The following is a 19,988-nucleotide window of genomic DNA, read 5'->3' as shown; positions in this document are numbered from 1 at the left end:
TCCATGTGAACAAGCTTATCAGAGCCTTTCCTGAGAGAAGTTTTGATAAGAAAAAAATTAGGTCTCTGAGAAAGTGGGTAGGCTGCGTGTTTCACATGAGACTCTTTGGAAATACTGATGCAGAGATTTGTGCAGAAAGAACCAGTCCTGCCTCGCTTGGGTTCCTTAGGCCTTCTGGAGGTGCTCCCTGCAAAAGGAGCCAAGCAAGGCAGGACTGGGAAAGGAAGGAGGTGAATCATGATGAGGTTGCACCTGAGGCCTCAGCCATCCTATGGGGGGGCTCTGCAGCTGAGATGGTCCTCCAGCATGGTCCCAAATTGAGGCACGGGGTGGGCCTTCATATCCTAATATCAGATTGTCATTGGTTGTAGTCTCCCATGGCAGCAGATATGACCCAGAAGGAGGCAGTCTCCAGAATGCAGCTGTGAGCCATCCACAGCTAAGAGTCCCAGCAGCTGGAGGATGGATGATCAGCCTTGCAGAGCAGACCTGGCTAGAGTCTCTCACTATTCAGTTCAGGGCCATCTTCAGAAAGGAGAGGAGATGCTCTCAAGACAGAGCTGTGAGCTGGGGCCTCTGACTCAGGACTGCAGGGGCCAAGGGGAATCTGGTAGGAAAGGAAAAGTTGTTCAGTTGTTTTGGGGACAAGGAGAAGTCATCCCCAGATCTTAGAATCAGAACAGAGGGTCAAATATAGCCTCAAGATGGATTTTGTCTGGCTCATAAGTAGCCAACACTTGAAAATTAGGAAATTTTGGCTGGGTGCGGAGGCTCACACCTATAATCCCAGCACTTTGGGAGGCCAAGGCAGGCGAATCACCTGAGGTCAGGAGTTCAAGACCAGCCTGGCCAAGATGGTGAAACCCCATCTCTACTAAAAATACAAAAATTAGCCAGGCATGGTGGCACACGCCTGTAGTCCCAGCTACAAGGGAGGCTGAGGCAGGAGTATCACTTGAACCTGGGAGGCAGAGGTTGCAGTGAGCCAAGATAGTGCTACTGAACTCCAGCCTGGGCAACAGAGCGAGACTCTGTCTCAACCAAAAAAAAAAAGAAAAAAAGAAAATGAATTAGATTTTATATAAAAATTCGTATTTCCTGCTTCTCTTTAAAAAGCTAAATATCTAGACAGTCTCAGGTTTACATCTCTCCAGGGCCTGAGGTGACCCCTTTAAATTGGGTCTGTTCCCTCCAATTTGCCATAGTCCCCACCAGTCCCTGTAGCCTCTCTGATAACCATGTGTCCTTGCCACAGTTCTTTACCCTCATTTTTAGGCACCTGGGTTTCCCACTTACCCATGTTCCAAGCCTGGCCCCTATGGGCACTGGGTTGGCCACTCTGACTTTAGAAGTTCCCACCTACTGGTTGGGCAGTGACTCAGGAACAAACCAGAGACAAGGAGGTAGTTGTCCCTCTCTGGGCTAAAGAAAACCAGGGACTTCTATGGCAACCAGTCCATGCCAGTCTGGTGGTTTGATCAGCTCTGGGCAGGAAGGGTGATGAGGGAGGATAAGGCCAATCATTTTCCACCTCCCACTCTCTTCTCCGAGGGCCCTAAGAAGTGGCTGGAGAGGGGACATCCGGGACCTGGGGTGGTTCCAGGATGGAGGCTTCTGGCTGCTATAGTTGCCCTGGGGTTGGCTGGAGCCAGGACCTCTCTGGAGAGGCACAGAGGGAACTTCAGAAGATGTCAGTCCATCCCCATCACCCCATTGCCACCTTAGAATCTCACCTTCACAAGGTTGGAAAGATTGTTCCAGGGTCTATACTCACTCCACACCAGAAACTCAGGTTCCTTCTTAAGTGTTTCCACATACAGTCACTCAGCCTCAGCTTGCACTCCTCCAGTGACAGGGAGCTCACTACTCCCTAAAGCAACATATTCATTTAGTTCTTGGCCAACTCTACTAGAAAGATCTTCCAAATGCAAAGCCATATGCTGTTTCCCTGTAACTTCTGCCATCTTCAAGGCACCCGTTAGAATGGGTGGGCCAAAATGCCCATCCATCATTTACCACATACTTAGAAATACCTACTGTGTCCCTGTCATTGGGCTGGTAATGTCATGGCGAATCAGGCAGACATGGCTACTGTCCTCTTCAAAAAGGAATGATAGACACTAAATAAAGAGTTACAACTGAGCGTAGGCCCTGAAGGAGAAATTGAAGGAGTATACACGATAAGGGGAGGAGCAAATATCCTCATCTGGTCTAGACAGGGGCTGGGGGAGGAATGTCAAGGAGGGCGTCTCACAAAGAGTGACTTTCACCTGAGGCCTGAAGCTTGAGAAGGAGTTGCAGAAGGTAAAGGGTCGGGGGAGAGCAACAGTGTGCAAAGGCCCTGAGGCAGAAGGAGCATCAAGGAGGGGTCTGGAGCTGAGCTCACGGCACAGGGGCCCTCACATGCCAAGGCAGGTATGCTGCCTGGTCAGGCGGGGTGGGCCTGTAGGATTGGAGACCTTATCCTCAAGGCAATAGAAGCCACTGACCAGGGAGTTAAGCAACATGACCAGATCTCTCATTTCCTCTCTGGGATCCTTCCTACCCCTTTGATGATCAGCCTAACTGATTTCACCTGGATGTAAATGTGGTTTCCCCTGAAGTTCCCTCTGTGCCTCTCCAGAGAGGTCCTGGCTCCAGCCAACCCCAGGGCAACCATGGCAGCCGGAAGCCTCCGTCCTGGAACCACCCCAGGTCCTGGATGTCCCCTGTCCAGCCACTTCTTAGGGCACTCAGAAAAGAGAGTGGGAGGTGGAAAATGATTGGCCTTATCCTCCCTCATCACCCTTCCTGCCCAGAGCTGACCAAGCCACCCCTTCTAAAAAGAACCCCATAGGGGAAGAGAGGAGGGAAGTGAATAATCCATCCCTTTGCTCAGCTCCCCCAGAGGAAACAGGGCAGAACAAACTAGCAGCACTCAAAGGCCTCAGCTGGGAAACCACTCAGGGTTTCCAGGATCTGACCTGACAGCAGCTCTGAGAGGGCCTGAGCAACCAAGGAAACACCGGCGACGGGGCCTCCGTCTGATGTCTGTCTGCCTCCATGGGAACTTCTCCCGGAAGCCTGGTGGGGGCTGGAATCAAATCTGCTCACATCCCAGCCTGCTCATGCCTGCAGAGGTGGCTGGTCACCCTGTGCAAAGCAACCACACCCACCGCAAACTGATCACTATTATTTTAAAACACCCCAAACAAACCAATTAAATCTTACAATTGCTTTGACTATTTTTCTTTCTGATTCATTAGGATGATGCCATTTAATCATTCCTTTAACCAAGGCAACCATTTAAACCAGCCAACACATGGATTCAGTCCTCAGAAAATAATCAGCCAAGGCCAGGCACAGTGGCTTATGCCTGTAATTCCAGCACTTTGGGAGGCCGAGGTGGGTGGATCACTCGAGGCCAGGAGTTCCAGACCAGCATGGCCAACATAGTGAAATCCTATCTGTACTAAAAATAAAAAAAAATTAGCTAGGCTTGGTGGTATACACCTGTAATCCCAGCTACTCAGGAGGCTGAGGCACGGGAATCATTCAGACCCAGGAGGTGGAGGCTGAAGTGAGCTGAGATCATGCCAGTGTACTCCAGCCTGGGCAGCAGAGGGAGATGCAGTCTCAAAAAAAAAAAAAAAAAAAAAAAAATCAGCCAAGACACAGTGGCCCAATGAATGACATTTATTTATTTAGCACTTCTTATATGCCAGGCACTATTCTCAGTACTTAACAGACATTTGCCCATTTGATCCTCACAACAATTCTGCAAGGCAGATAACATTATTTTCCCATTGTAAAGATGAGGAAATTGAGGCACAGGGAAGTTGGCAAAAATTGTTGGGGCCACTGTTGATGAGTGGCAGACTTGGAATCTGAATGAGAGTGTGGTTCATGGTGCTTGACCCAGGCCCAGAGGCACCCTTGGGGCTCTGAGTAGGATGGAGGGTGGACATCACCTACCCCTTGGATACACTGGGTTTTTTCTCCAGCATAAAGATTTTTGGAATAAAACGTTCCAAGGCTTCAAATAAATTTGTAAATCTCTGGCAACAGAGCTTTATCTGAAGGGGCAGGGGCTGTGCACTTTCTTCTCTGAAATTCTGATTTTAAGGTCTGAATTGGGACCCAAGGAAACACACCAGGAGATTCCCACCTTCGGCCAAGTTTAGGGGAAAAAAAATAACTTGTTTTGAGTTCCAGCTCCTCTCTGTCGGTGTTAGGCCATTTTTGCATTGTTGTAAAGAACTACCAGAGACTGGGTAATTTATAAAGAAAAGACGTTTAATTGGCTTACAGTTCTGCAGGCTGTACAGGAAGTATCGTATCAGCATTTTCTCAGCTTCTGGGAGGCCTCAGGGAGCTTTTACTCACTGTGGAAGGTGAAGTGGGAGCAGACATGTCTTACCTGGTGCCAGCAGAAGCAAGAGGGTAGAGGAGGTGCCACACACTTTTAAACAACCAGATCTCATGTGAACTCAGAGCGAGAACTCACTCATCACCAAGAGGATGGTGCTGAGCCATTCATGAGGATCCATCCCCAAGATCCAATCACCTCCCACCAGGTCCCACCTCCAACACTGCGAATCACATTTCAACATGAGATTTGGAGTGGACAAACATCCAAACCATATTACTTTCCTCGATGGGGCCTAGGTCAAGCCCTGAACCCCAGCATTTTTGTCTATAAAATGGGCACGAATCCTGCCCTACCTCCTAGAGCTACACTGTGGTGCAATGAAATCAACACTGTGCTGTGGAATTGCGGGGACTGTTGTGACATCAGTGATGGCTGTGCTCCTTCCAAATCATAGCTGTAGTGGTGTGGATCTGCTCCCAAGCCTGTGATGAGGGCAAAAAGACAGATGAGGAGGGATACCTTGGGGCTGGGCTTTTGGAGAATCCAAACATTGACGGTACAGAGAAAACACAGGCTGGAGCACATGTTTTTGACAAAGGCATGCATAGACCCACTGGCTAACCACCAACACTGTGGCTAAGATGTTTAAATTCACTTCGTATCCTTCTAAGTGGAGCGGTGCAGGGAGGGACAGAGAGGAGCATGGACTTGGGAGTCAAACAGACACAGGCTTGCATCTGGACCACTTCCTCATACCAATTCTGCAACCCTGGGAAAGCTGCTAGGTGCCTCTGTGGCTCAGTTTCTTTTTTTTTTTTTTTTTTTTTTTTTTTTTTTTTTTTTTTGAGACGGAGTCTCGCTCTCGCCGAAGCTGGAGTGCAGTGGCGCGATCTCGGCTCACTGCAAGCTCTGCCTCCTGGGTTCACGCCATTCTCCTGCCTCAGCCTCCCGAGTAGCTGGGACTACAGGCACCGGCTACCATGCCCGGCTAATTTTTTTGTATTTTTAGTAGAGACGGGGTTTCACCATGTTAGCCAGGATGGTCTCGATCTCCTGACCTCGTGATCCACCCGCCTTGGCCTCCCAAAGTGCTGGGATTACAGGCGTGAGCCACCGCGCCCAGCGGGCTCAGTTTCTTGTCTGTAAAATGGGAAGAATCACAGCATGTACCCCCTGAAGCTAATGATGAGGATCAAAGAACACGCTGCCCAGGACCTGTCAGTGTTAGTGCAGTGGGTTCCATGCTTGAGCTGTAACTCAGCCATGCAAGGCAAAATAATTTACCTTTCTATAGCAATTTAATGGCTGGCTTGAGCTCCCCACTCAGTTGTGGCAGTAGACACAATCTCATTGAATTTGGGGCAAACTCCCAGTTTTCCCCAAGGGGAGTCTGAGTTATGGGGGCTTTTGTATAACCCCAGGTTCTGAGAGATGTTGGCGTCTCCCTGAAGCATTCGCCCCACAAAGTCATGCCTCAGTGGACATATCCTGAAACTCATCACCAAACTGACCCTCATACCTGCCTTCCCCTGCCTCTTGTCCGCAAGGTGCCAGGGCCCAGGAGCTATTTCTCAGATCTGGGCCTCACCTGGGTATGGGAAGCCAGGCAGGCTGTCTGCCTGAACTTGCTACCCAGCCCTTCCCTCTTACAATCTTGCTGCCTCCTGGAACTCTCCAGGGAAGCCCCTCTTCAATGTTCACTGCCTGCTGCCATTCCAGACCTTGCTCCCACATTTCCAATAAGCCCTTACAACCTCTCATGTCTGCTAAGGTCTGGGGTTAGCAGGGTACAAAGCCAGGAAGACTCCATTGTTTCCACCCACCATCTGTCCTGCCCCTCTTCCTAATCCAGGCTCAGTGGCTGGAATGGGGAGTGCAGAGCAAACCCCCAGGAGAAAAATACCTGTTAACATCTCAATCAAGTGTATCCCACCTTGTTCACTGTGACTATTAGGATCAGAGTGATAGCAGAGGAATGCAATGTCTCAAGAAAACGATGTGAAGGGCAGAGAACCAAAGTCTTTCAGCAGAGTTTGAGCAGAGCTGGAAGAACAGGGATGTCCCTGGAAAGACATCTTGGGGGAGAAACCAATGATCAGAGCCCAGATATGAGAGGGTGGAAGGAGAATTCAGAGTTGCCCACTGACCTGGAACATCTGGATATGGACTGTTGAAAGGGCTTCCAGATGTCTGTAAGGGATGTTGGGCTCGATGGACAAGGCAGTGCAAAGCTAGGCTAGGTGCACAGCGTCCCTTATCATCCCCCACCCCCCAACATATGCAAGGAGTTGGCTGGGGCCATGACTGCTCCTTCCTCAGCCCCAGACTTCCAAACAGCACCCCCAGAGGAGAAACAAAATCAGCTTCCATTCTCTCCCTGTGCATAGCAATAGCTTTAACAGCTAAAGAGAGAGTGAGAGGAAGGAAGTTGTCTTAGTCCATTTTCTGTTGCTTGACTGAATGTCTGAGACTGGGTAATTTATAAATAAAAGGAAATTATTTCTTACAGTTCTGAAGGCTGGGAAGTCCAAGGTTGAGGGGCTGCATCTGGTGAGGGCCTTCTTGCTGTGTCATGACATGGTGGAAGGAATCATGTGGTGAGAGGGCAAGAGTGTGTCAAAATGGCTTTTATAATGGACCTACTCTCCTGATAACTAACCCAGCCCCATGATAACCCATTAATCCATTAACACCTTTATCCATGAATGGATTCATGAAGGCAGAGCCTTCATGACACAATCACCTCTTAAAGGCCCCACCTCTCAATCCTGTTACATTGGGGATCAAGTTTCAACATGAGTTTCAGAAGGGACAAACATTCAAACCATAGCAGGAGTAGACGGGCAAGGAGGTGGGACTGAGGCTCTTTGAGCTCCTTTATCGGGTCCCTTATCCGCACCAATGTTGCAAAATGTTTCACAGATCAGGCTTCCTTCATGCCCTTGAAACTGCCCTGCAACCTCTTGCAGGTCCACCTGAGGCACCATGATGTCCCGGCACCCCATGTAGATGCGGAGAAGTGGCCAAGGCATGGGCATGGGCAGGACTACTAAGCCATTAGACAACAATCTCCAAAGTCTTTTCCTTCCTCCACCCATAGCTTGTTCTAGGAGAAGAAGGGAAAGTCTGTCTTAGCTGAGTCTCCTTGTCCACTTTTTCCCTTTCTCCTGGTGAAATTCCAGGAGCTGTGGACACTGGGGTTCCAGTCCCAGCCAGCCTCCTCTCTGGGTCTCCATGAGAAAATGAGACTGCCAGAATGGAGATCCCTGAGGGCCTTCCAGAGCTGAGATCCTAAATCACCACCTGCTGAAGCCGGATGTCATCACTGAAAATGGACGTGGAGCCTGCTTTGATCTTCCAAGGCATGTGGGATAGGCTCCCAGAGCTGGGCCAATGGTGTGGCTGGCTGGGCAGGAGGATAGTCTGGTAGGGAGACAGTTTAAATGGAAGCCTTCCAAATGTTCAGAGCCCCAGTCATGCCAGCCAGCTCCCAGGCACAAGTCTGGGACAGGATGGAGGAGGGATAAGAGTTAAGAAGCCCCAGGACATGGTTCAGCCAGGGGCTCAGAAGTGGATCAGCTGTGCCTCTGGACTAGTCTCTGGGCTGGACATGGTGGGGCTGGGGCAGGAGGACAAGGGCAGGCAAAGTGCAAGAGTGGGCAAGTGCTTCTGGGTTTTCTGGGCACTTAGAAGGTCTGGGAGCCCAGAGAGTTCACGCAGACAGGCAGACACACACACATTCACATGTTTGTGTGTGTGCATGTCTTCAGGTTTCACGGTCAACAAAAGCCTTTCCAGGGAAGAAGCCAGAGCTAGAGCAGAGATGGGCTCTAACCTAAGGCTAAGGTTCAGCGGGGGCCACCAGGACCACCAAGCTGGCTGTTAAAATATTCAAATACTTCAGTACCAGGGGTAGATAGCTGCAGTCCCAAGCTCCTGGAGCATCCCCTACTCTCACCACACCCTATTACTCTGCTCCCAGCATCCCAAGGCTTTCCCACAGCCCTGCTACCAAAGGGCAGGCACCAGGCTCAGCAGGGATGGCTGCCCCAGGACCCCATTCCAATGCCATGTCTGAATTTCTGCTGACTGTCCAGGGCCTGAGTGTTACCGGAGGGTACAACATGTGGGAGCCTCCCTGCTCCCCCCAGGGCTTCTCCCATCCCAGCTGTCCCTTTCTTTGCTTTCATCACACCCCTCTTAGCTGCAGGAGGAATTCTGGGTACAAGGAGAGAAGTAGAGAGGCCCAGAAGGCTGTCTGTTCCCACTGAAGTCTTGAGGTCCTGTTGCCAAGGTCAGACACTCAGGAGCTTCTCCAGAGGCTGCAGCTGGGCTGCAGGGGCCAACAGGTCTCTCCTGTGCTCAAGCCATGTGTTCCCCTCCATGCCCCCTCACCCAACTGCCCAAGAAATCCATCCCCCTCCAGCTAACATTTGATGAGTATTCCACACCGGCTCAGCCCCAACAGCAGCGTGGCAGCCCCTCCCTGCCACTGCTGGGAAACCAGGAAAGGGTTTTAATCTCAGAAACAGTCAAGGTGGGGAAGGGGAGTGGGGGGCAGCCGGGAGGGCCATATGGAACCTGTTTGAGGAGCTGGGTCAGAGCCCAGCTACACCTCCACGCACCAGGGCACCAGGCCAGCTGTTGGCTTTGCCTGCTCAGCTCTGGCCAGAAAGGGAAAGGAGCGTGGGAGAACAGACAGGCAGGCCGTGTGGGGACAAGCGTGTGCTACGTGTGTGCACAGAGCTGCTGTCCTTTAGGCCAAAACATGCTGGCTGGCTGCCCAGTGGCTGGACAGGGGGTAGGCGTCAGAAGGCTGGCAGCTCAGCAATGTGCTGGGGTTGTAGGGGTCAACAGAGTAGCATTTCAGGTCTCCTCAAGGAAGTGGCAGGGACATGTCTGGGAGCACCACGCACTACTCTTGGTCAGCCTCACAATTTCCCCAGCTGGGCTCCTGCTGGAGGTGGTTCTGGAAACCCCCAGAAACTACCATTCAGTCTCCACTTTGGCTCCCAGGCCTGCGCACACTGCCAATCCTCTGCCTGTCTGTCTGCCCATCACATACCCAGTCCCACACCCGATGGCCTACCCAACCCCAAATGGTCGGGGTGACGTCATGATGAATCTGGCTAAATATTTGACTACACCGCTCGGACTTCACCTTGCCGCACTAAACTTGGGACTGATCCAGAGTTTAGATTGACCTTGCTGGATTTTGGACCGACCTCACCAAATTTCCGACCAACCACCCCAGTACATGCGAAGCCTGAACTTCTGTCTAGACTCCCAGGACTTTGAGATGAACTGACGGAGTTTCTGATTGATTTTGCAGAAGTTTTCACAGAACTTAACTGAAAATAATGTGGCCTGGCTTTCCTGAATTTTCATCTCACCTGACAGGTTTGACTGAAAAGTTGTAACCTATTTTACTGATTGTTATTTTAAAAACTAAGCTTCTTGGCCAGACGCAGTGACTCATGCCCGTCATCCCACCACTTTGTGAGGCCGAGACAGGAAAATTGTGTGAGCACAGGAGTTTGAGACCAGCCTGAGCAACATAGTGAGACCCTGTCTCTACAAAAAAAAAAAAATTAGCTTGTGTGGTGGTGCACGCCTGTGGTCCCAGCTACTCAGGAAGCTAAGGTGGGAGGATCATTTGGGCTCAGGAGTTTGAGGCCACAATGAGCAGTGATGGTGATTGTGCCACTGCACTCCAGCCTGGGTGACACAGCAAGACCCTTTCTCAAAACCAAACAAAACAAAACAAAAAACTAAATTTCTTGAGTGTTTGAGCTTTCCAAATTCTTTTACCCTGAATTGGCCAGATGAGGAGGTGCCCTCAGACCCAGACTAAATCAGGAAATCGTCAAGGAGGCTGAAGGGCTGTCCCTAGGCACAGGGCTGAACGGTCAGCACTGAGCCCCTGTCTGACATAAAGTCTCACACAGAGCCAGCACTTCTCACCTGGAGAGGGGATGGGGCGAGACAGAGGTGCGATTGGTTCCTTATCCCTCTTATGACACCTTCCAATATTCTTGCATCTATTTATTCCTTGCTGCCTCCACAAGCATTCTCTGCCTTCCTTCTCCTTGTTTCCAGCATTCCCCCAGCTCTTGGACTCAGGAGTTCCAGGAAACAATGCTCTTGAGTCAGTCCGCCCTGAGTAGCTTCCTGCTAAGGAGTCATATAAAACAGCTTCAAAGCGAGGGCTCTGGGCTCAGCCTGCCTGGACTTGGAGCTCAGCCCTGCCTGTTCCCCTGTTCCAGCTGTATGATCCTGGACATGTTAATGAATTTTTCTGAACTTTGGTCTCTTCACCCCCAACACGGGCAGAATTCCACTGCTTAGCTCTGGGGTTAGTTTTCATGTTTTCAGCAAGAATACTAACGACACTTAAAGCTTGTTGAGCACTCACTCTGAGCCAGGCACTGTCCTGGGCTGTACACAGCCTGAGACCCTCACTGAATCCCCGTCACAGCTCACAGGCTAGGAAGGGGCAGGCCCAGGCTATTCCAACAGGGCAGAGGCCTTGCCCTCAGCCACTCTGCACTCCTGCCTCCTGGGCTTACCCCTGATAGAGGCCGGGGCGGGGAGGGGAGTGGTTGGCTAGCATTCCCTTCCTCGTCATCATAATTATAATACTGTCATGACTGGCCTGTTTCTTGTTGGAAGAACTGGGCTGATCTCTGGGTTGTGTTTTGATGAGGCATTTGTTATTTGATAGTGTGACTTTATCTTCTTTTAGGAACACTGGAAAGCAAGGGCTATCCCCCGGAGCCCTGGATATTTTCTTTTCTTTTTTTTTTTTTTCGCTCTGTCGCCCGGGCTGGAGTACAGTGGTGCAATCTCAGCTCACTGCAAGCTCCGCCTCCCAGGTTCAAGAGATTCTCCAGCCTCAGCCTCCCGAGTAGCTGGGATTACAGGCACCCGCCACTGCAACTGGCTAATTTGTATATGTTTAGGAGAGACGGGGTTTCACCATCTTGGCCAGACTGGTCTCAAACTCCTGACTTCGTTATCCACCTGCCTCAGCCTCCCAAAGTGCTGGGATTACAGGTGTGAGCCACTGCACCTGGCCATCGCTGGATATTTTCAAACCCACGAGGGGTATCAGAGCCATGGGGCTAGTTCAGTTCTTTGGGACTTTTGTCAATCTGCTCACATCTAGTCTGACTTTGCCACATGAACCTCTTGGGTTTTTTTACTGGCAACTTAATGGGAACCAGATTTGCAAAGCATTCATCAGTCCATGGCACTGGTATTTGCCAGGCTGTAGGCTGTAAGCTAAGGACAATGACAGCAGAGAAACCAGGTCCTATTCCTGGTTTCTTTGAGCAACTCCTTTGAGCAACCTTGAGCAACTCCTGTGGCAGCACTGGTCTTGCTTGTCTTCCCCAGGGAGGGAGAAAAGGCAGGCATTTGGGAGGATGTTTGAGGTAAGAGCAATAGCTGTTTATTCCTCTCTGTAAGGTAAGGTCTTTCATGGGAGAGTTGGTAAGCGGTGCTGTGGGCTGCCATTTTCAGCAGCATCTGACTTATGTCCCTGCATTGTTCTATTTGTGTCCTGCCTCGGCAAATGCCTCCACTCCCCTTCATCTTCCCTCTTCCTTGCCTTTGCTCACTCCACTCTCTGCCCAGCATGTCTTCCTTTTCTCTTTCATACTTATTCAGCATTTATTGAAAGTCTTCTATATGTTAGACATGATTCAGAAGCTAGGGGCACAAACACTCAGTCTCTGCCCTCAGTGGCTCACAGTGGCAGAGACATGCAAAGTGTCAAGGAATCAGAAGCCCTGGACACCTAGGCCAGGTGGGTGGGGAAGGGGAAAGGATCAGGAAAGACTTCCTGTTGGAGGCAACATCTAACTAGATTTCTGTCTAGCCCACCTGGAGGACTCTTACTCACCCTTCAACACCCAGTTCTATCAGCACCTCTTTCTTGAAGCACTCCCAGATTCTCATAAGCAGATTAAATGTCTCTCTCTCAAACCCCCTGGGCTTTGCACATAGAAGAGATAGCACCAACACCTCATTGTTTGAGTCAGTTTCCCCCACCTCACCCCAAACTGCAAACTCCCTGAGGACAGAACTGGACTCATTTTTGTAGTGTCAGGGCCCTATAGGAGTATAATAAATGTTTATTCAAAGTCTGTATAGTTACACGTACTGTATCAACAAATACATGCATGTGTGTTTATGAGCTTATGTCTATGAGCCAAGGGCGTGGTAGTCTTGGTGGGGGAAGTTCTTACATCCCCTTCCTTAATATATTTGCCTTGTTATAGTCTCTTAGCTCCTCCCCCGTGACTCTCTCCTGTCTCCATGTGGACAGGAGTGACAGTGGCTCCCTGGTGTTTGAAAGTTGAAAGTTTGATGCAGGGGCAGGGATGGGAGAAACCTCTATCAGTGCCTCCCCCACAGCCAGCTCTGCCTGCCCCCCAGGGCTTGGGGAGCACACCAAGAGACAACCAGCACACCACAGCCAAAATGATCCTCCTCTTGCCCCCTTCACCTGCACTCCTGCCAAACCTGTCCACTGTTCCAACCTGCAGCTAGAGCTGGCTGGAAGGGTACCAAGGGGCCCCGGTGTCCTGACCGCTGAATATTCTGAACGGAGACCTAAGTTTGGATCACAGTTTAACTCCTCTCTAGTAAGTCATTTTCCAGCAGGGTCCTTCCCACTCTTGGATAAAGGTCAGTTGCATGGGTTCCCAAGTCCAGGCTGGACACCAACATGAGATGCAAAGAAGGCTGGGAGAAGGTCTCCCAGGGGCAGAAACCACCACAGCTTACCCAAAAGTGCCCCCATTGCCTGGGTATGATAACAACAGCCCTTGCTTCTATGTGGCCCTTTGTAATGGCCGAAGTCCCTCCCGTATATGGTCCATTCTATTAAGGTTTACTGAGCCTTCGTGTGCCTGGCCTTGTGCCTTGCTAATAATCACATGAACAGGCTCCGTGCTGAGCTCTTCACATGCATCACCATTTGACCCTCACAATGACCCCTTTGTAAAGGTGAAGACAATGAGACTCAGAGTTTATCCATTTCTCAAGGACACACCGCATTATGTGGTAGCACCAGGATCTGAATTCACCTCACTCAGGTGCTCAGGTGAGCCAGAACCCCCGCCCCCAACTCCACTCCCCCATCTCCAGGCCTTTTCACCTGCTCCCAATAGCTGAGAAACTTTCATGTCCCGTCTTAAAGATGAGAAAAACTGACACTTGGTGGCTTTAGGAGACTTTCCAGAGATCTCACAGAGGCCAGGCAGGGGTGTCTGGCCTTCCATGCTCCAACTTCCATGCTGCCCAAAAGAGAACACCTGTCCCATATCTGCATCATGGAGCTAGCTGAGCCCAGTTCCGCACCCATACTGCCTGGTTTTGCGACTCCAGCTCAGTGGGTGACCTGTGGGGTCGCCCCCACCCTCTACTGACACTCTCCCGCCACCCCTGGTTTGTGAGGCATCTGCGTTGGTAGCTAGATGGGCCCCAGAGGGAGCCGGCCAACTGCAGGGTAGGGATGACATACACTCCTGGTGGCAGAGGTTTGGAAGCATTCTCCCTGAAATTCTGCCACCTAACCCCTCCCCACCTGGCCAGTGCCTTTGGGCTCCATGACAAGGTCAATAGTTGCCCAAATGTCATCAGACCAAATCTATTTTCTGCTTTCTGACTGGCTATCACAAATGGGGGCTCTTTCTCTTCCATCTCTTCCCAGTGACTCTATGTCAACCTCCTCGCCAAAGATGCCCATGCCTCTCACTCAAAGCGAAGGAATCTTGCATTATTTTGAGAGCTACTCAGAGGGTAAACTGCTCCCAAAGCAGGATGTGAAGTTCCAGGAGGCAAACACAAGGCAGCGTTTGCAGACCCTTGGATTTCTCTCCCAAGTTGTGAGGAGGTGGGGCAAGTCCTGGGGAATCCCCAGGGCCGTGGGTCCTTGCCCCTTTTCCACTGGGGGTCCCATCTTCCAGGCTGGTCTCCTTGAGGTCAACTTCTCTTAAGGCTTAGAAGTTTGGAAACTAATTATTCAAAAGCTTGGCAGAGCATAGAAGAAGAACACTTGCTGTGAGAGAACTTCAAGCCCCAGCTCTGGCCACTCATTAGCTATAGGCATCAGTTTGTCTGATGTTTTAATGAGAAGTTGGTCTTTGTCTCTGAATGGGATTCCAGCTTTGGAAATGGTCACATTCTCTAACACGACCAATCTAGGAAAATCGTTGTGATGAGGAGGTTTTTGTTTTCCAGGCATTGCCCTATCATCTGATCTACTCTCCCGTTATCTTGACAGCACATGGAATGAATTAGCCACATGCTACTGAGAATAAGAGGAACAGAAGATATGAGGGTGCTCATGATGTGCCAACCCCCTTCAGACTGTTTTCTATGTACTAACTCATGTAATCCTCCAACAATCCTATAGGACAGGTGGTATTATTTCCCCCAAAACGCACACCCCCACTTTGCAGATGAGCAACAAGAGGCTCCACAGGATAACGTAATGTGCCAAGTTAATGTGGCTAAAAAGCAGCAGAGCCAGGCTTTGAAGCTGGGAGGGCTGTCTCCAGAGCACACCTGTGTAACGACCATTCCACACGGCCCTCAGCGAGATGAAAGAGGCACCACTGGAATTTACAGCCCAGAAGGGAAGCTACAGCTTGTATATAAATTATCCTAATACAGGTTGGGGAAGTGATAAGTGACCAAGAGAGAAACAGATAATATCCCCTGGGAGTATAGATGAGGAGAAAATTGCTTCCAGCTGGAAGAAGATGGGAAGTTTTATGGAATAGGTGACATTTTAGCTGAGCCTCAATGGACAGGTGGGATTTGGAGCTATGGAGATTTGGGGAGAGGGAGCAGTGGGGATTGTATTTAGGGAGAGCAGCTTGTTCTGCTGGGAAATGACAAGCAACAGAGGAAGGAGACTAGAGAAGAGGACATCTGAGCCAAGTGCAGAGGGTTATGAGCGGCCCTCTGCACACGCTGCCCCTTTCACACTGACTGCAGCAATGGAGAGGCAATGGTGTCTGGGCATGGGAGAGACGCAGTCAGGACTGTGCTTTGAGAATTGTGCATGGCGTCAGCAGAAGCAGGGGACAGCATGTACACTGGGGATTCTGGCAGGAAATAGTCTGACTTAGGGGGCTCAATCCATGGATGATAAAGCTATTGCTCATGGAGGGTGGGTGGGACCGGTGAGGGATGAAAAGGCCCCCAGAGCCCCAAAGCAGTGGGTGAAGGCAGGAAATTGCATCACTGCGCCAGGTGAGAGCTGGAGGCACCATCGGCAGGAGCTGCAGACCTTTGAGGATGCAGCCACGACTGGAAACATGATCCGGGGCAGGAATGGTGCAAAAAACAGCCCCTAGGTCTTCTTTTGGGGCTTTCCATGGGCAATAGCCAGAACTGGCTGCTGGCTGTGAAGGAGTCTGCAGGGGTTCAGTCTGGGGACACAGAACAGGGCAGAGAAGAATGAAGAGAGAATGAGAGGGAGAGAGGCAAACAGAGAAGACTCACCACCCCAGACCACACTAGAAGTGGTTACAGTATTTGGGAAAGAGACAGTGAGAGACTGAGCCAGGGCAGTTGCAGAAGCAAAGGTGGTGTTGGAGACAAATGTGGAGCTTAAGGAAGCAAGATGGACAAGAGTTGGTGAGCACGAAGGAAGAACTTGGGTATCTGCTAAGTGCCAGGTGTATGTGTAGTAGACCTTCAAAGTTAATTTAAAAGTCAACTACCACAAGGATCAGCTCTGGCATGTTTTTGTTTGTTTGTTTGTTTTGTTTTGTTTTGTTTTTGTTTTGCTGAGACAGAGTTTTCACTCTTGTCACCCAGGCTGCAGTGCAATGGCACAATCTTGGCTCACTGCAACCTCTGCCTCCTGGGTTCAAGTGATTCTCCAGCCTCAACCTCCCGAGTAGCTGGGATTTACAGGTGCCCACCACCACTCCCGGCTATTTTTTTTTTTGTACTTTTAGTAGAGATGGGGTTTTGCCATGTTGGCCAGGCTGGTCTCAAACTCCTGACCTCAAGTGATCCGCCTGCCTCAGCCTCCCAAAGTGCTGGGATTACAGGCATGAGCCACCACGCCTGGCCCATGTTTTTAATTTGAAAGGCTTCACATACACCCTCAGAGATGAATGACAAGCTGGATAGGATTATTATGAAAGGGGCCAAGACATCAGGGTCTTCTCACTGTGGCCCCCACTCACCTGGCATGCATCCTTGCATGTGGATGTTCTTGGGTCAATCTTCCTGTTCTGCAGAGTTGGGAAGTGAGGCCCAGGGAATTCCAGTGGTCTGGGAAGGTTGCAAAGGGAGACTGCCATAGAGCTGGAACTAGAAGCTGCCACAGTGCCCCTGCTCTCACCCCTCCTAGCTGGTGTGATATGAAAGACAGCAGTGCAGCCCAGTTCAGCTGGGGGAATCAACAGACAGGCTTCCACCTACCCTCTGCCTGGGATGGGCTTCGTCTCTTCCACACCCACTCTTTATCCAGCTTCTTTGCCACCAGGGCTCCAAGGTGAATATATCTTTGCCTTAGAAAAGACACAGGAACTAATCAAAGATGGTGCCTGGGAGGCATCTCCCCCGAAACGAACTTCCAGCTCCGTGTTTCTGCGGCATTCAACAGGTTACTGAGGCCGTCGATTGCAATGACAGATTGTGAAATAAATGATACCACCCAAAGCACTTTCATTATCCTGCCACAGATTTTTGGCAATTCCTCAAGTCTGGTTCGTTTTATGTCTAATTACATATCACCATTCATGTCCCCCGTATGTTATGTTTCACATAATAAATACATGGAAAATCTTTCTCTTTTTCCATCAGCCGCTGCCCAGAAATGAACGGATTCCTGGTGTGTGCGTACGCAATAAAGAAGCAGTTGTTTCAGACACGGTGACACTTCATAACCTGGACTTTATGGGCCCCTGTCGCTCTGATTCGGAGGGCTAAAAGGAGGATTTTCTGCAGGCTGTTCCTGCTCTGGAAGCAAAAGGCGATTGTCGGGAGCAATGTCCTGGGATGGCTAGAACGGCAGCCCGAGCCCCACTCTGGGGAGACAAAGGGGCTGTCAGGCTATTGGAGGGTAATTTGCTTGACTTCTGGAGATGAGGCCTGACTGCAAAAGTTTTCCTGTACCTCCCGGTGTTAATAGAAAGGCCAGGGTCATTGATCAATCATGGGATACCTCACCTAGCAATGAATCTACAGGCATTATTTAAGCACCTACTATGTGCCCAGGCCTGTTCTAGATGCTGAGTGGGGGAGGGGAGGGATGAAGAGTGGGAGAACACTAAAGAGTAGAGGTGTGGAAATAGTTGATGTCATGGTAACAAGAGCGGGTTTTGGAATTGAACCAGGCTTCTCTGCCTACCAGCTGTGAGATGGAACTGAAAACCTCTTTGAACCTCAATTTACACATCCCTAAAGTGGGGATGCCAACATATGGCCCTCCTCATGGGGTCGTTGTGAGAATTAAAATAAATAATTCATGTAGGCCGGGTGCAGTGGCTCACACCTGTCATCCCAGCACTCTGGGAGGTCGAAGTGGGTGGATCGCTTGAGCCCAGGAGTTTGAGACCAGCCTGACCAACATGGTGAAACCCCATCTCTACAAAAAATACAAAACGTAGACCGGCATGATGAGGCATACCTGTAATCCCAGGTACTCAGGAGGCTAAGGCAGGAAGATGGCAGAGGTTGCAGTGAACTGAGATGGTGCCACTGTACTCCAGCCTGGGAGACAGAACAAGACTCCATCTCAAAAACAAACAAACAGAAAGAAAGGAATAAGTCATGGAATGGAAAGGGTTCTGCGTGGGCTCAGATGGCTCATTATTATGATCACTATTATTATTATCATTGTTCTCGCATCATGTACCCTGAGGGCAGGCAGTAGGGTGTTGAGAACAAATGAAATAAAAGATGAGGCCCCTAAATTCATGGCCCTGGATTTCAAGCCCAGCTCATGACTGGCCGAGGAGGTGAGCGGCATACATGGGGGACAATTAGGAAAGGATCTGGCACTGGACTGGAACCCGCTGTTGTCACGACGGAAGGGCTGGCTGCTGTGGGCTGGTGTCCCTGAAGTCTTCCTGGGAATGTGGTACTTGGACAAAAGACACAGCAAGAAGATAGGAGAAGGATAAAGGGGGATATGACCAAAAGCAGGAAGACAAGAAAGCATGATGTTTTTGTGAGACAATAAAAGCATTTGCTATCCGTTCCTCAAATACCTACGGAGTGTCTCCTGTTACTGGCACTTATTAAGTGCCAGGCAGCCTTCAAGGCATGAGACACAGAGCTCCAATGGTCCTGGCTCCCACACACAGGAAGCTACAGCACAGTCACCTCAATAAGTCAGCCTTGAGCAAGGTTTGGCTATGCAGAGGGTGGGATGCACCATGGGCTGGTCAGGAAAAGGGGGCATGGGGCGGGGGCAGCCTTTTGTCCTGGCCCCATTGGTGGTGAGAATGTTCACTGGGGACAGAGGGAGACCAGGCTGGGTATTTACTCCAAACTCAAAGGCCATCCCAACACATTCAACAGAAATGTGTCACACGTACACTGCATGCGGGCTGTGATGCAAGAACATTAGTTAGTAGGACATCGATGTTCAGAACCATGTGCTGTGTGGATGAATTAATGGTAATGGGATCCTGCACCTTCTGTTCCCCTTCCAGGTCCTCTGTCCTTCCCACTCCACCTTGCTCTCTGCCCAGGAGACAAATGGGTGTGAACCACCTCAGTAGGCTCCCCTGCCCTGGCTGTGCTTGGGTTTGGCCAATTGTGAGCCCAGGCAGGAGACCAAAAGAAGGGAAGAGAGTGAGACCCAGCTAGTTGGCTCCCTCCCTGCAGCATTGCCTCTGCTGGCCGGGACCCTCCACAGAAATCTTCTCCTGAGGCAGCCTCTACTACACAAATATCGTCTCTCTTGAGTGCTTGTAATGGATCTGTGATGGTCAATTTTATGTATCAACCTGAGTAGCCCAGGAAGTGCCCAGACTAAGCATTGTTTCTGGATGTGTCCATGAGAGGGTTTCCAGATGAGATTAGCATTTGAATATGTGGACTCAGTAGGTTGTCCTTCCCAGTGTGGGTGGGCACCGTCCAATCTGCAGATAGCTTGAATAGAACAAAAGGTGGAGGAAGGAGGAATTAATTGGCCCCCTTTCTTTTCTTCCTACTTGCCTGCTGGAGCTGGGACATCAGTTCCTGCCCTTGGACTGGGATTAGTACCATCAGCATCCCTGGTTCTCAGGTCTTTGGACTCAGGACTGAATTATGCCACTGGCTTTCCTGGGTCTCCAGCTGACAGACAGCAGCTCCAACTTCTCAGCCTTGAGTAAGTAAATTCCTCATAATAAATCTCTTCCTGTATATACATCCTATTGGCTCTGTTTCTCTAGAGAACCCTAATACACTCTCCCTCTTGTAAGCAAGCCTAGGATGGTAACCCCTGTTTTTAGCCCAGGCTTCTGTACCAGCCATTATGATTCCCCTCTACCCTGGCCACATTCTATAAATATTCCTTTGTAAATTAAACCTCCTTGAATTATCCTAATTTAGTGCACCATCTGTTTCTTTTTGGGACTCTGATTTACATATTCCCCAATTTCAAATG

The 19,988-nt window shown here is 50.2% G+C and overlaps 1 long non-coding RNA gene across 1 annotated transcript, besides 2 other annotated features; it reads right to left on the bottom strand.

Annotated features, from left to right (window-relative positions):
- Positions 1–4,254: 4,254 nt before the first annotated feature.
- LINC02651 (long intergenic non-protein coding RNA 2651) lies at positions 4,255–10,985 on the bottom strand. Its single transcript, XR_946038.3, has 3 exons — positions 10,316–10,985; positions 4,705–4,833; positions 4,255–4,364 (listed from the first exon to the last, which is right to left on the bottom strand). It is a non-coding gene; the product is annotated as a long intergenic non-protein coding RNA 2651 (long non-coding RNA).
- Positions 9,078–9,578: an enhancer, noted in NCBI's record as "H3K4me1 hESC enhancer chr10:71445612-71446112 (GRCh37/hg19 assembly coordinates)". NCBI's record gives its function as "activates a minimal SCP1, AML or CMV promoter by ChIP-STARR-seq in primed H9 embryonic stem cells {active_cell/tissue: H9 hESC(primed)}" and the evidence as "EXISTENCE:reporter gene assay evidence [ECO:0000049][PMID:30033119]".
- Positions 17,224–17,393: an enhancer, noted in NCBI's record as "experimental_17069 CRE fragment used in MPRA reporter constructs". NCBI's record gives its function as "activates a minimal promoter by MPRAs in K562 erythroleukemia cells, with activity observed for both the introgressed and non-introgressed 10:71437882 variant alleles {active_cell/tissue: K562}" and the evidence as "EXISTENCE:reporter gene assay evidence [ECO:0000049][PMID:34662402]".

This window comes from Homo sapiens, chromosome 10 (assembly GCF_000001405.40).
Source record: "Homo sapiens chromosome 10, GRCh38.p14 Primary Assembly".
Classification (NCBI taxonomy): Eukaryota; Metazoa; Chordata; class Mammalia; order Primates; family Hominidae; genus Homo; species Homo sapiens.
The sequence above is the reverse complement of the archived record's forward strand: the minus strand, read 5'-3'. Positions and strand labels throughout refer to the sequence as shown.